General features: G+C 37.2%; 1 annotated feature.

The window, feature by feature from the left end:
• Positions 10,366-10,495: an enhancer, noted in NCBI's record as "active region_3415". NCBI's record gives its function as "activates an Ori minimal core promoter by ATAC-STARR-seq in GM12878 lymphoblastoid cells {active_cell/tissue: GM12878}" and the evidence as "EXISTENCE:reporter gene assay evidence [ECO:0000049][PMID:35858748]".

Genomic DNA, 16,198 nt, shown 5'->3' with positions numbered 1-16,198 from the left:
TGTTTTTGTTGTCATGTCTAAGAAGTGTTTGCCTAACCCAGTGTCACTGATATTTCTCATACATTTTTTACTTCCAAAAATTGTACAGTTTTGGTCTGCGATCTGTTTTATAGTTTATTTTGTATATGGTGTGATATATCGATTAATTTTTTTGCATATGAATATCCAATTACTCTAGCACCCTTTATTTAAAAGACTACTTTCTCTTCACTGAATTGCCTTTACAGTTGTAGAGTTTGTAGAGTTAATTGTTCATGTATTTGTGAGCAATTTTTTTATTCAGACACTCCCTATTTTGTTCCATTGATTTGTTGTTCTATCTTTACACCAATACTACATTGTCTTAATTACTTCAGCTTTCTGATAAGTGTTAAAACCAGGTTATTGTTTCTAAAACTTTATCATTTTTCAAAATTGTTTTGGCTATTTGAGATTCTTTGCATTTCCATATGAATTTTAGAATTGTCTTGTTGATTTCTACAAAACTCCTGCTGTCATTTTGACTGGGATTATATTTAATCTATAGATTCATTTGGGAAAAGTTACATTTTTTTTTTCTTTTTTTGTGACAGGGTCTTACTCTGTAACCCAGGCTGGGGTGCAGTACACAATCACAGCTCACTGCAGCCTTGACCTCCTGGTCTCAAGTTTTCCTCCCTCCTTAACCTCCCAAGTCTCTGGGACTACAGGCATGCACCACCACGCCTAGCTAAGTTTTTGGTTTTTTGTAGTGATGGGGTCTCACTGTGTTGCCCAGGCTGGTCTCGAACTTCTGGGCTCAAGTGATCCTCCTGCCTCAGCCTCACAAATTACTGGGATTACAGGCATGAGCCACCATTCCCAGCCAAAACTGATATCTTAACTGTCATCTGGCCAAGGAACACAGGATATTTTTCCATTTGTTTAAGTCTTCCTTAATTTCTCTCAGAAATATTTTATAGTTATTAGGGTACAGATCTTGCACATCATTTGTCAAATTTATTCCTAACTAGTTCATTTTTGTGGTGCTATTGTAAATCATATTTTTGAATTCAATATCTTCTTTCATTGCCAACATATAGAAATGCAGTAGATATTTGTATATTAATCTTGTATCATGCAACCTTGCTAAGCTCACTTATTAGTCCCAATAGGTTTTTTATGGAATCCATTGGATTTTAACATAGATGATTATGTCATCTCTAAATACAGTTTTACTTTTTTTCATTGCAATCTGAATTTATTTTTTTTCTTTTTCTTGCCTTACTGCACTAATTAAAACTTCCACTATAATGCTGAATAGAAGTGGTGAGAGCAGAAATTCTTGTATTATTTCTGACCTTAGCAGGAACATCCAGTTCTTCATCACTAAGTGAGATGTTATCTATAGATCTTTCATAGATGTTCTTTATTAGGTTAAGGAATTCTCTTGCATTCCTAGATTGCTGAGAATTTTTATCAGGAATAGTGTTATATTTTGTCAATGGCGTTTTCTGCATCTATTGAGATAATCACGTTTTTTCTTTTTTAGTTTGCTAATGTAGTGAATTACATTGGTGACTTATATATGGTGATTTTAAAAAGTTAAACTTATATTCATGGGATAAATGACCACTTCATCATTATCCTTTCTATATATTGGTACAATCAATTTGCTAAAATTTTATTCAGCGTTTTTGCTTACATGTTCACGAGGGATTTGAGTTTGTAGTTTCTTTTCTTGTATGTTTTTGTCAGATTTCAGAATCAGGCTAATGCTGACCTCAAAGAATGAGTTGCAAAATATTTCATCCTCTTCAATTTCCTGGAAGAGCTTGCCTAAACTTGGTATTATTTTCTCTTTAAATGTTTGATAGCATTCATTAGTAAAGCCATCTGGGCCTGAATTTTTCTTTCTTTGAAAGTTTAAACAAAAAATTTAATTCCTTTAATAGGTGTAGAGCTATTTAGTTTATCTATTTATTCTTGAGAAATCTTTAGCCGTTTGTATCTTCCAAGGAATTTATACATCTCTTCTGGGTTTTCAAATTTACTAGCATAACATTGTTTGTAATATTCCTTTATTACCTTTTTAATATCTGTAGACACTATTGTAGTGTCACCTCTCTATCCTTATATTGGTAATTTCTTCTCATTTTTTTCCTGACTATTCTGGCTAGAGGTTTATTAATTTTATTGATCTAAAATATCAGTTTTGATTTTATCAACTTTCTTTATTTCTTTGTTTTCAAGTTCGCAGATTTCTACTTGCTTTCTATGCTTTCTCTTCTGTATACATTGGATTTCATTTGTTTTATGTTTTCTAGTTTTTTAAGATGGAAGCTGATTTGAGACTGCTCTTCTTACCTACTACAGGCACTTAGTGCATCAGTTCTCTCCTGTGTTCAACTTTAGCATCATCCTACGAATTTTATTCCTCTGTGTTTTCATTTTTATTCCATTCAAAACACATTTTGGGGTTTTTTTGTTTGTTTTTTTGAGATGGAATCTCACTCTGTCACGCAGGCTGGAGTGCAGTGGCACAATCTCGGCTCACTGCAACCTCTGCCTCCCAGGGTCAAGCGATTCTCCTGCCTCGGCCTCCTGAGTAGCTGGAATTACAGGCACATGCCACCACGCCCAGCTAATTTTTGTATTTTTAGTAGAGGTGGGGAGTCATCATGTCGACCAGGCTGGCCTTGAACTCCTGACCTCAAGTGATCCACTCACCTCAGCCTCCTAAAGTGCTGGGATTACAGGCGTGAGCCACCGCACGTATCCTCAAAACACTTTTAAATTTTCCTTTCGGCCAGGCGTGGTGGCAATCCCAGCACTTTAGGAGGCTTAGGTGGGCAGATCACGAGGTCAAGACATTGAGACCATCCTGGCCAACATGGTGAAACTCCGTCTCTACTAAAAATACAAAAATTAGCTTGGCATGGTGGCACAAGCCTGTAGTCCTAGCTACTTGGGAGGCTGAGGCAGGAGAATCACTTGAACCCAGGAGGCGGAGGTGGCAGTGAGCCGAGATTGTGCCACTGCACTTCAGCCTGGCATCAGAGCGACACTCCATGGTGAAAAAAAAAAAACCAATTTCTTTTTTTTTTTCATTATACTTTAAGTTTTAGAGTACATGTGCACAACGTGCAGGTTTGTTACATATGTATACATGTGCCATGTTGATGAGCTGCACCCATTAACTCGTCATTTAACATTAGGTATATCTCCTAATGCTATCCCTCCCCGCTCACCCCACCCCAAAACAGGCCCCAGTGTGTGATGTTCCCCTTCCTGTGTCCATGTGTTCTTATTGTTCAATTCCCACCTATGAGTGAGAACATGCGGTGTTTGGTTTTTTTGTCCTTGCGATAGTTTGCTGAGAATGATGGTTTCCAGCTTCATCCATGTCCCTACAAAGGACATGAACTCATCATTTTGTATGGCTGCATAGTATTCCATGGTGTATATGTGCCACATTTTCTTAATGCAGTCTATCATTGTTGGACATTTGGGTTAAGCAATGGCAACAAAAGCCAAAATTGACAAATGGGATCTAATTAAACTAAAGAGCTTCTGCACAGCAAAAGAAACTACCATCAGAGTGAACAGGCAACCTACAGAATGGGAGAAAATTTTTGCAATCTACTCATCTGACAAAGGGCTAATATCCAGAATCTACAATGAACTCAAACAAATTTACAAGAAACAAACAACCCCATCAAAAAGTGGGCAAAGCATATGAACAGACACTTCTCAAAAGAAGACATTTATGAAGCCAAAAGACACATGAAAAATGCTCATCATCACTGGCCATCAGAGAAATGCAAATCAAGAAAAATTTCTTTCATCCCTTCTTTTATCATGAGTTATTTAGAAGAGTGTTATTTAATTTCTAAATATTTGTAGATTTTCTAAAGATCTTCCCGGTATTGATTTCTAATTTAATACTGTTGTGTTAGAAAACATACTATCTGTGGCTTGAATTCTTTTCAAAATATTCAGATCTGTTTTATGGCCCAGAACGTGGTTGTCCTTGTAAATATTTCATGTGCACTTGAAAAAAATGTCTAATTTGCTGTTATTAGGTGGAGTGTTCTTTAAGTATCAATTAAATTCAGTTGACAGATTGTGTTGTTCAAGTCTTCTATATACCTACTGAATTTTATCTACCTGTTTATTATTGAGAGAGAGGCATTAAAATCACCTCGAATTATAGATTTATTTTTCCTTGCAGTTCTATCTGTTTTTACTTAATGTCTTTTGAAAATCTGTTACTAGTTCATTAGTATTTAGGATTTTTATGTTCTCCTGATGGACCAATCTCTTCATCATCATGAAATGACCTTCTTTCTCCCTGGCACTATTCTTTGCTCTGAACTACTTCCTCTGATACTAACATAGCCTCTCCAGCTTTCTTTTTCTTTCTTTTCCATGTAATACCATGGTTATCTCTTTTCATCCTTTTACATTTAACCCCATTTGTTCTTTGTATTTAATGCAAGTTTTTTGTAGGCATTATACAGCTAAGGTCTTGTTTTTTAATATGACAGTCTCTGCTTTTTAATTGAGCTGTTTAGATCATTTATGTTTAATGTGATTATTGATGTGATTAGGTTTAAATCTATCATCTTGCTGTTTTCTATTTGTCCCATCAGTTCATTGTTCTTCTTTTTCTGCCTTTTTCTGGATTAACTAGGCTTTTAAAATTATTTCATGTATCACCCTTATTGCCTTTTTAAGATCCAACTCTGTTGTTTTAGTGGTTTCTTTAGGGTGTACAGTAAAGGCCATCTTGTTAGATAAGCTTTGCGGTTTCTCTATTGTGTTACTACCTACCTCCTAAAACTTTCACAGGAACATTTTTACTGTCTACTCTGTACCACGTACTTTTCAACACTTTAAATACATCAGGTCATGTAATATAACAATACTACGAGGATGGACTGTTACTCCTATCTTACACATGTGAAAACTGAGACCTAACAGGTATACTGACACTTGCTCGTGGTTACACAGCTAGTAAATGGTTGAGTTTGGATTAAACTCCTCTTTCCTTAGCCCTGGATCTCTGAGTGTTAGTAAGTTTATACTGGTGATGACAAATCAGTACTATATGTGGTAACTGCCTCCTCTGAAAATTTAGTTTTGTGTTATTGCTTTTATTGTTATTGTTTTAATTCACAAACCTGTTTGTGGTAACTTAAGCATTAAGGATTTCCTTGCATTTTTAATTTTATGTGATTTGGAAAATTGCCATACCACATGGCTCATTGCATGGCCCTCTCAGTTCCTGCAAAGTAATCCATCAAACAGAAACCACGGCATTTATTGTTCTAAATAGTCTTCCACTGGGTATAACATTGAACTCCACCAGCTCTGAGGGTTGTTTTCGTTTGTTTGCTTTTTTTTTAACCAACTTTACCAGTCTGAGTGTTTTAATTCTCCCCTAGAACTGATTACTAAAAAGTTATAATTTATCGTTTTTAAAATGTGATGTTTTCCCACTTAATATGGATGTATATTTCCTTTTTTTGTCAAGAAGATAATATACCAAAATAATAAATTGCTCTAAATTGCTCAGTGATTTCAGTTAATGTGAATCCATGTTTAGCAGGTTGGCATATAACAGTGGTTATCAAAGCGTGGTCCACAAATCTCTGGTGGTAGGGGCAGGTAAGGGGTGTGTCTCTGACACCTTTGGATGATCTGAGAGGGCAAAACTATTTTTATAAAAGCACTAAAAAGATTGGGAGGCCGAGGCGGGTGGATCACGAGGTCAGGAGATCGAGACCATCCTGGCTAACACGCTGAAACCCCGTCTCTACTAAAAAATACAAAAAATTATCCGGGCATGGTGGCAGGCACCTGTAGTCCCAGCTACTCAGGAGTCTGAGGCAGGAGAGTGGTGTGAACCCGGGAGGCGGAGCTTGCGGTGAGTGGAGATCGCGGCACTGCACCCCAACCTGGGCGACAGAGCGAGACTCCGTATCAAAAAAAAAAAAAAAGTCACTTGCATTCTTCATTATGTTGACATTTGCACTGATGATAAAAAGGCTATATTGGATAAAACTTTTGGTGCCTTAGCAGAAACGCCAAGGCTATATTAGTAGTCATATTCTTCACTGAAGTGCACTCAAAGGGAAAGAAAAAGACAGTTTTATTTAATATCCTTGATGGAACAGTTAAAAATCATTAATTTTATTGAACAGTAACCCTTGATTACATGTTTTTAATATTCTGTGTGGTGAAAGAGGAAGTATGCATAAGTATTTCTTCTGCATACCAAAGAACAATTGTTTCAAGGAGAAGCACTTGTGTGGTTGCCTGAGTTGTGAGCGCAACTAACCTCCTTTAAAAAAAAAAATAGAAACTTACTTTTACTTGAAGGTGCAACTGACAGACAACTTATGGCTATTTATACTTGGATATTTGGCAGACATTTTTTAAAAAATGAATGAAGTCAGCCTGTCATAAGACATAAAATTGACAGTATTTGTTGCCAATGCTAAAATGTATTCTTTCAAGTGAAAATTAGAACTTTAGAAAACTTGTATCTGTCACCATGAATGTGACAGCTTCCTAATACTTAAAAACTCTTCTGATAAATTGATAGTGATATTAGAAAATATGATTTTTTACGTCGCATAATAAAATGTATCAACATTTGGAAAATCTCTATAACTCAGTCAGCCAATATTTTCCAAATGGCCAGTGCATGATCATGCCTGAATAAAAGTGCAAGATAAACCAATGGATACTACTGTAACAGAGTACAAAATGTTAGTTGATATGATCTCAGATTCTGTATTACAACTATTATTTGTCAGACTTTGGTATAGTAACAAAAAAGAATATCTATGATTATATGAAAAGGCTACTAAAATACTCCTCCCTTTCCCAAATGCATATCTGTGTAAAACCAGTTTTCTAAATATATTCAGCCAAAATAACATATCACAACAGAGTAAATGCAAAAGCAGATATGAGAGTACAGCTATTTCTTATCAAGCCACTCATTAAAGAAACTTGCAAAACTGTAAAACAGTGCTACTTTTCTCACTAATTTCTTTTTATTTTGGAAAATATTTATGTTTATTATATATATATATATATATATATATATATATATATATATATTTTATTTTTATTTTTTTCCTGAAACGGAGTCTTGCTCTGTTGCCCATTCTAGAGTGCAGTGGCAAGATCTAGGCTCACTGCAACCTCCGCCTCCTAGGTTCAAGTGATTCTCTTGCCTCAGCCTCCCAAGCAGCTGAGATTACAGGCATGCACCACCACACCCTGCTAATTTTTGTATTTTTAGTAGAGACAGGGTTTCACCATGTTGGCCATGTTGGTCTCGAACTCCTAACCTTAGGTGATCCACCCACCTCGGCCTCCCAAAGTGCTGGGATTATAGGCATAAGCCATCACACCCAGCCAAATATATTTATTTTAAATAAAATTTATATCAAGCCAGGCGCAGTGGCTCACGCCTGTAATCCCAGCATTTGGGAGGCCGAGGTGGGCGGATCATGAGGTCAGGAGGTCAAGACCATCCTGGCTAACATGGTGAAACTCCGTCTCTACTAAAAATACAAAAAATTAGCCAGACATGGTGGCGCGTGCCTGTAGTCCCAGCTACTCAGGAGGCTGAGGCAGGAGAATCGCTTGAACCCTGGTGTTGCAATGAGCTGAGATCGCGCCACTGCACTCCAGACTGGGTGACAGAGCGAGACCCCATCTCAAAAAATAAAAAATTATCTCAGTATTAACATCATGGGTTTATTATTTTTAATGGATTAAAATTAAATGGTTTTAAATTTCTCAGTTTTAATTTCTAATATGGTAAATGTTGGTAACTATAACCCCATGCTTTTCAGGGTCCTCAGTAATTTTTAAGACTATAAAGGGATTCCGAGAAAAACAAGTGTGAGAACTGTTGGTAGATTCTCAGCTCACACTGATTCCTTTTCTCTGATAACTGCTCTTTCTCCCTCTATCCATGAAGGATATTGGAGGATAGCCTAGGTTATTGTTTTACCTAGGCTATCATCCTTCCTCTCCTCCCTGGATCAGTGTATTGAGGGATAGAAGGGTTAATGGGTAGCGGTATGGGGTGTGGATTTTGACCCCAGCAGGGCCTATCTTACTCTCCCCTTACAATTCAAGTAGGGTCAAAAGCGTGTTAATGTCTATCTAAAGCCTGACCCCATAGTGTATGATGTAAATTACATAAAGGGTCCAACTTCCCACGTAGTGGAGAGAACAAGAGGGGAAGTTGGTTTGAAGACTGTGAAGAGAATAAAGCAGATACACGAAGAGGGGAAAAGATGAGAGACAGACAGAAAAGCACAAATTTCTAGGGTTTCCCAGATCTCCATTCTTTGGTTCTAGTTTATGCCTGAAGATGGGCTTGAGTTCTATAAAAGAGCCCAGTGTCACGTTACTAAATATTATCTTTTCCTTTAGCCAGTTTGAGTGGGTTTCTTTTACTTGCAACCACATTGAATCACTTATAGTTAGGTACCACCTGCCTGCCTGCTGCCGTTGCTCACACCCGTAATCGCAGACCTTTGGGAGACCATGCCAGGAGGATCGCTTAAGTCTAGGAGTTTAAGACCGGACTTGGCCACATAGCAGAAAAAAAAAAAATAGCCTGGCTTGGTGGCACTCATCTCTAATCTCAGCTACTTGGGAAGCTGAGGTAGGAGGATCCTTTGATCCCGGGCAGTCGCGGCTGCAGTGAGCTATCATGCCACTGCGCTTCAGCCTGGGCAACAGAGCATGACCCTATCTCTAAAAAACATAAAAATAAACTAAAATATGGTAAGGTAGGACATATGTGATCTGTTCTCAACCTTTGTAAGGTTTATGATGTGCCATACATTTTAGGGTCTTATCAGCTAGAAATACAAGACCAAGGTTTTCTGGAAATGCAAAGATACTATTTTTATATTGAAGTTAAAAAAGAATTACCATAGGCTACACATGGATTAATTACTATCTTCAAAGAATTAGAACTCTATCAAACATTCTTACCAGAAAATTATGCTGAACAAAATTTAATCTTTCTGTGACTGTTCAAAGGAATTTAGAATCTTGTAATGCTCCAGGGACATTACCATTTTATAAATTGTACAAAAAATTCTCATTATTTCAGCTTTCTGGTAGTTTGGATTCAGAATAAATGAGAATTTACTGTAATACTTTGAATTATTAAGTTCTGGGGAGTTCAAAGTACTACTTCAAATATACATGCATTATATCACTTATCTTTTTTAACAGAATAATGAAATTTACAAATGGAAACAGTAGTGGGTGGATTCAGGATACAAAGTCATGTTTCTCGATGTTCTAATGAATAATTCTTACATTTGGCTATTTTGAACTGATCTCTCTTTTCCATTTCAAAATATAGTCTCTTTTAAGCTAAAGACCAAATAGGGCTAAGGCCAGCAACAAAGAATTCAAGCTATAATTGTATTGTATTATTATTTATGTATTGATTTGATTATAGGTTTCAGCTCATACATTTTCAGGTGAACCTAGATCCTCAATTTATTTTCACGAAAGAGAAAAACTCAAACATAATGGTAAAAAAAAATCAGATGCATTTACATATGCTTCTGGCTTTCATCAAGCAAAAAATATAGTTTAAAATGTATAGAAAAAAAGAAACTTTTAAATTAAAATCCTTTTTGCTCTAGCAATCAGCCTCGACATCAGTATAGTATATTTTGACTTCCTAATTATGGATTATCTACGACCAAATATAATATGTTTAATGTATAAATGACACTCTTGCCACACAAACTTCCTTGTATCTCTCTCCCTTAAAATGTAATTAGTTTCTTTTTGCTACTAAAAAATTTAATGCTTTCAGAAGCCAAAGCTTATTTCTGTATCTCCTGCTGTTTTGGAGTGTCTGTACCTTTCCTCCTGCCAGTTAGCATGGATAATCAAAAGTGAACTGTAAGGAGAAATCTTCCATTTAGGAAACATCAATTTGTACTAAGTCTAATCTAAAAGACTAATATGGAGCATGTGGTACATTCAATAGGAAAATGGCATTTAAATATTAATACTAGATAAATACACTCTTGCTGCTCTCTTTGATAATTTATAAGTCATACTCTTCCAGAAGGAAGTAAATCAGTTTTTTTTCTTTTATGCTGCTGCTCAGTAACATTATAAGGCAATATGTAAATCAAGGAACCATTTTCTTAGTCAGAACTGACAAGGGGAAGTGAAAATGTTGGGTCCAATTTCAACCTCATTTCCTTACAGCCTAGATTTGTGTTACATGCTTGATCCTGACTGGTGCTTTCCAAATTAAATGTATATTTCTCAAACCAATATCTTAAGTGGTAATGTTCCAACAGTCCAAATGTCGATTACCAAAACAAACATTTGTTTCTCTAGCAAGTGTTTTCACACAAAAGCATTTGATTCTCGTACTGCAGCAAACAAACATTTGCTTTAGGCGGTTAAGGCAGCCAAAAGTTCTTGCAGAAACATTTCACAGGCTGGCTGGCATCCCTCTTTGGAGCAGGGCTTGCTGATGTCCGAGATTGCATGTGAAGCCAGCTGCTGACCAAGAGAATCCTTTGCAAGACATTGAGACCATTAAAATGATTTAGCATTTTTCAAAACACATCTTTTGGGAAAATGTGCTTCTGGTTATGATGTTTCCATTAGAAAATGTCTTCATGTCTTCACAATGCTTCATTTGCTAATATAAATTCAGCCTTTGATATAATCACATAACCAAAGTCTTATGAAAGTTCACAAAGGCACATAAAAACATTCACACAACCCAGGAATCATGATTTATGCAAGAGCCCATGAGAGTTCATTACATAAATAGTCCTATTACTACATTAAAGTCTATTTTCTCTCTTGAACAAGATGTAGATTATCTGTGTAAATATATTTTCTTAAGTGCACATCTACTTTACTGTCAAGATACAGCTTCCACATAAAAACCCTCTTGTTTTTCATATTATTTAAATGCTTTTGGAATGAATCAATATTTCTGAGGAAGTAATTTACTTAAATACATGTTCTTTAAAGCATGGGGAAATTGATTCTTAACTTCTTTCCAAAGACAGGGTTTCCTAGCAACTGGGTCAAGATTGATTCTTTGGCTAGTTCTAAACTGAGAATAGTCACTAGCCCACTTAAAGGCAAAGAAGAGTTCTTCTTAGTTAAATGAATGAATGAATGAATGAATGAATGAGTGAAAACACACACACACGTGCACCACACACACAAAATGTCATTTAAAGCGTATTTGATAGAATGCGTGACAATTTGGACCTCTAGCTGATCAACTTCCAATAAGAGTTTGCTGAATACTTTCCATGAGTTTGATTCTATTTTGGCATTGATGGGACTGGGGAACCATGATACAGAGAGCAGGTAAACGGCTGTAATCATCCTAGTAACAATGCATTTAGCAGGTATTATGGGCTAGTGCCTACAGGTGAAATAACTAACCATCAGTAGAAAAAGGCATATCAGGCCCGGCATGGTTGCTCACGCCTGTAATCCCAGCACTTTGGGAGGCCAAGGCGGGCGGATCACGAGGTCAGGAGATCGAGACCATCCTGGCTAATATGGTGAAACCCCCGTCTTTACTAAAAATACAAAAAATTAGCCGGGCGTGGTGGCGGGCGCCTGTAGTCCCAGCTACTCCGGAGGCTGAGACAGGAGAATGGCGTGAACCTGGGAGGCGGAGCTTGCAGTGAGCGGAGGTCGCGCCACTGCACTCCAGCCTGGGCAACAGAGCGAGACTCCGTCTCAAAAAAAAAAAAAAAAAAAAGGAAAGAAAAAGGCAGATCGAGGGACAACCAAGGTCTGTGTGATGTTAAAGCTCTGGAAACTATACTGTCTTTACATGGAAAGCCCAAAGTATTTCTTGTCTTCAAGAAACTTTCAACCTAATTGTAAAGAAAACATACCCCAAAGAATTAGGGAGCAACCTGAGAGAGTAAATGTGTAAGTGTTAGTAATATTAAAGTAACAAAATATTGCGTTTATTGAGTCCTTACTTAATATCAGGGACTGTGCTAAGGACCTGGCATCCTGGTGGAGATGGAGCTTGGGCTGGGCCTTGAAGCAGGTAGGGAGACGTGAAAAGCAAGGAGGGAAGGTCCTTCGAGAAGATGAAACAGCATGAGCAAAGGCCTGGGGGTGGGAGGTGTGCTGTTTGGGACCTGACAGGCTTGGGGTGACAGGTTGGTGTGGGGAAGTTGCACTGAACGAGTAGGTGGGCCTGTGTTATGGTGGAGTCTGAATACCAGACTGACATGCAGAATTGACCCAGCGGGGAAATGTGTACTCGTTCTAGGTTCTTGAATATTGGGGACATGATAACTCCCCCTGTAATTTCTAGAACAAATGGAATATGCATTTGCTGTTAGAATAGCTACTGCCAGAGTTCTCTCCCAAAAAGCTTAACGTTTACACTACCATCCATATGCCAATAATATCTTGAGTTTTCTCACTTGACATTTTTTCAAACATTTTAATATTTGCTAATTTCTTCTTTAAATGTGATATTCCCTATTTTTTGAAGTGTTATAGATACATAGTTGTACATATTTGTGGGGTACATGTCATGTTTTGATACAGGCATACAATGCGTAATGATCAAAAAATCAGGGTAATTAGGGTATCCATCACCTTAGGCATGTATCATTTCTTTGTGTTAGGAACATTCCAATTCCACTGTTTTACTCATTTTAAAATATACAATAAATTATTCTTAACTATAGTCACCCTATGGTGCTATTGAATACTATATCTTATTCATTCTATCTAACTGTATTTTTCTTTTTTTTGAGATGGAGTCTCGCGCTGTTGCCCAGGCTGGGTTAATACCATTAACCATCCCCTCTTTATCCCTACCGAGTCCCACCCTTCCTAGTCTCTGGCAACCATGTTTCTACTCCTATCTCTATGAGTTTAATTTTTTTAGCCGTTGTTTTTTAATTTGTACACCTTTGGCTTTGAGTGTGATTGTGCAGTGATTTATTTGTTCATTTCCATTTGCATTTATTTTTCTGTGAATTGCATATTTGTATCTCTTTTCTTATTCTAATTGGTAGTTTGGCATTTTTGTTAATTTACAGAAATTTCAAAAATATATTATGAGGGCTAGGCATGGTGGCTCACGCCTGTAATCCCAGCCCTTTGGGAGGCCAAGGTGGGCGGATCATTTGAGGTCAGGAGTTCGAGACCAGCCTGACAAACACAGTGAAACCCCGTCTCTATTAAAAATACAAAAATTAGCTGGGTTTGGTGGTACAAGCCTGTAATCCCAGCTACTTGGGAGGCTGCGGTAGGAGAATAGCTTGAACCCGGGAGGTGGAGGTTGCAATGAGCCGAGATCATGCCACTGCACTCAAGCATGGGCGAAAAAGCGAGACCCTTTCTCAAAACTAAATAAATGTTATATATATATATATATCAGGTTTGGTCTTTTTGTTTATCATATATTTGCAATATTTTTTCAGAGTATTATTTGTCTTACAGCTTAGATTAAAGTGTTTTTTCAATTTTTCATATTTATGTAGAAAAAGATACTAATCTTCTTTTTTAAATAAAAATTCCAGGCATCATCTGCCTAGAAGGAAATGCCAAAATTACAAAAATATTCCAATATTTTCTCCTAGTACTTAAGATTTTTGATACATTTACATTTATATACATTCGATCCATCTGGAATATAATTCAGTTTAGGTGTAAAGTAGAAATTTATTTTCATTTTTGCTACTGATTTGAAATGCCTAATTATCATATGCTAATTTTCTACATGTGGGTCTACTTTTGGTCTCTCTCCTATTTCCTTACTGTATGATGAAAAGGCATAACACTGGTTTAATTACTATTGTTTGGTTTTTTAAAATCCTAGCATAGCACAGCACAGTTGTTATTAAGACCTTAGATACTACATAGTAGATAAGAGCATTGGACTCCGGGGCCAGGGGACAGTTTACCACTTACTTGAACTGAGACAATTTGCTTAGTCATTCTGTACCTCAGTTGTCCCATCTTTGAGATGGGGATAATAATAATGTGATTGTGAGGATTTAATGCATTTCTGTATGTAAAGTGCTTAAAACAGTGCCTACCACACAGCAGGCATTTATAAAGTTATTGGCTGTTATTTGTCATAATTTTTCCCCGGATTTTCTTGCTTTTCTAACTCATCTTCTGAATAATTGTTAGAATCAGTCCCTAAGAGGGCTTATTCAAGGGATTCCCCAAACATAGTTCCCTTCCTATGAAGAATCCTGATGCCAGCTGTTAAGAGAATTCTTTTTTTTAACCTGGCACAAAGTAAGCATTCAATAAATGGCAGTCATTATTTTGGTTATAATTATTGTTTTGGAAGGCACGTCAATATGCAAAGTGAATACATTCTCCTCTGATGTCTCATTCTCCTCCACCCCTAATAGAGCCTACAGGAGAGGGGAAAGAGAGAAAGCCGGTGGTAGTGGCAGGAGGGCATGGGGGAGTGCAGAAGGAGCAGCTTCTCTTAAATTCTTTTGGGGGAATTTGTAAGTGTGTCTTTCTCTTGCCCCTCAGAGCATTCTCCTGTGGCCCTTGCCTTCAGATAACCTTGGTGGGAATTAGAAAAATCTTCCCCATTTCTGTATTTCAGCCATGAATCTTAAATGATTGAAAAAATTAAAGCTCCCAAGAACTGCACTAAAGTGTTAACATGTGCTTTAGCACAGAGGTATTTAGTAGTTTAGCTAAAGCCCTCAGGGGCCAGCAGGCAACACAAATCAGTGGTCATCGAACTTTTTGCTCATGAACCTCCTAAAAATGTTTTGCAAAACTATGTAACCCTTATCAGATTTTTAAGTTAACATCTAAATTTTTTAATAATAAGTTTAATAGTTATTTTTAAGATGGTAATTAGAGGTGTATGGTAAATGGCAACATTTTAAAATACAAGTTTAAGCCCGGCACAGTGGCTCACGCCTGTAATCCCAGCACTTTGGGGGGCGGAGGCGGGCGGATCACCTGAGGTCAGGAGTTCAGCCTGGCCAACGTGGTGAAACCCTGTTTCTACTAAAAATACAAAAATAATGGCAGGGGCCTGTAATCCCAGCTACTCGGGAGTTTGAGGCAGAAGAATCGCTTGAACCCAGGAGGCAGAGGTGAGGTTGCAGTGAGACGAGATCGTGCCATTGCACTCCAGCCTGGGCGACAAGAACGAAACTCCATCTCAAAAAAAAATAAATACATAAATAAATAAAAACATAAAAGTTTACATCCCTCTAGTAAAATGTAAACCCCATAGCAATTTGATATCATCAACTATAAATTAAAAACACAAGTTCTTTTTGACATACAGAAATTTTACTTCTTTTCTCTCCTTGAATTCATATTTTAAATTCTATTACCCCACAAAATTTCATTCTAATATGGTAAGTTTGTTTTCAAGTGTTTTATGCATCACCCTATCAGGCTTCTTGATAATATAAATAAAAATACAAACTGAAATTTTATTTCCTGCTACCATAAGGCCATAGGTGTTCAGGAAATTTATCATCTGGAAAAATTGATCAAAACAATATAAATATACTTTAAACATTTTTATGAATGATTATTAAACATGAAATTAAAAATTTATTAAAAGTGCATAGCTATATAAGATGCATGGGGTTTTATTTGTTCCAATTAGTTCATGTATGCATGGATGGCTATTATTTAATGCTAGAATGAGATAGGGTTCAGCATCAAGTCTGTTCCTATTTTTGGCATTTATAGCTATAAAGGCTGAGAAACCTGGTTGACAAAAATAAGTAAATGTGAATAGGAACTGTTTTGTTACTTCCATATGAATATTTTGAATTGCCTCATTGTCATGGAGAAAGTTCTAACACCCTGAGGCAGTGTGCCACAGTCGGATTTGAGATGGGCAAAAGGTGTGCATTTCCTTTGCAGGGCAGGTTAGGATCTCAGGAAGCAGAACATGGGGCAAGATGTTTATCAGGGATCAGTATCTGTGAAAGGAAGTAGGCCTGGGCACAGACGAAATCTGCGAAGCCTTGGCCAACCTGGCTAGGAGCTCTGAAGTGAGTGCTGCCCATTAGAGTTGTCTTGGAGACAGGTCTTTATACCACTAGAGGCTTGGTCACCAGGATGGGTGTAATCCCTGCAGCTGAGGCCAACCCTGAAAGAGCTGGGTCTGTCTGCTGGGGGGCTGTCTGCTGGCTGC

This window comes from Homo sapiens, chromosome 10, assembly GCF_000001405.40.
Source record: "Homo sapiens chromosome 10, GRCh38.p14 Primary Assembly".
NCBI lineage: Eukaryota > Metazoa > Chordata > Mammalia > Primates > Hominidae > Homo > Homo sapiens.
Note: the sequence above shows the minus strand (reverse complement) of the source record. Positions and strands in the feature narration are given on the sequence as shown.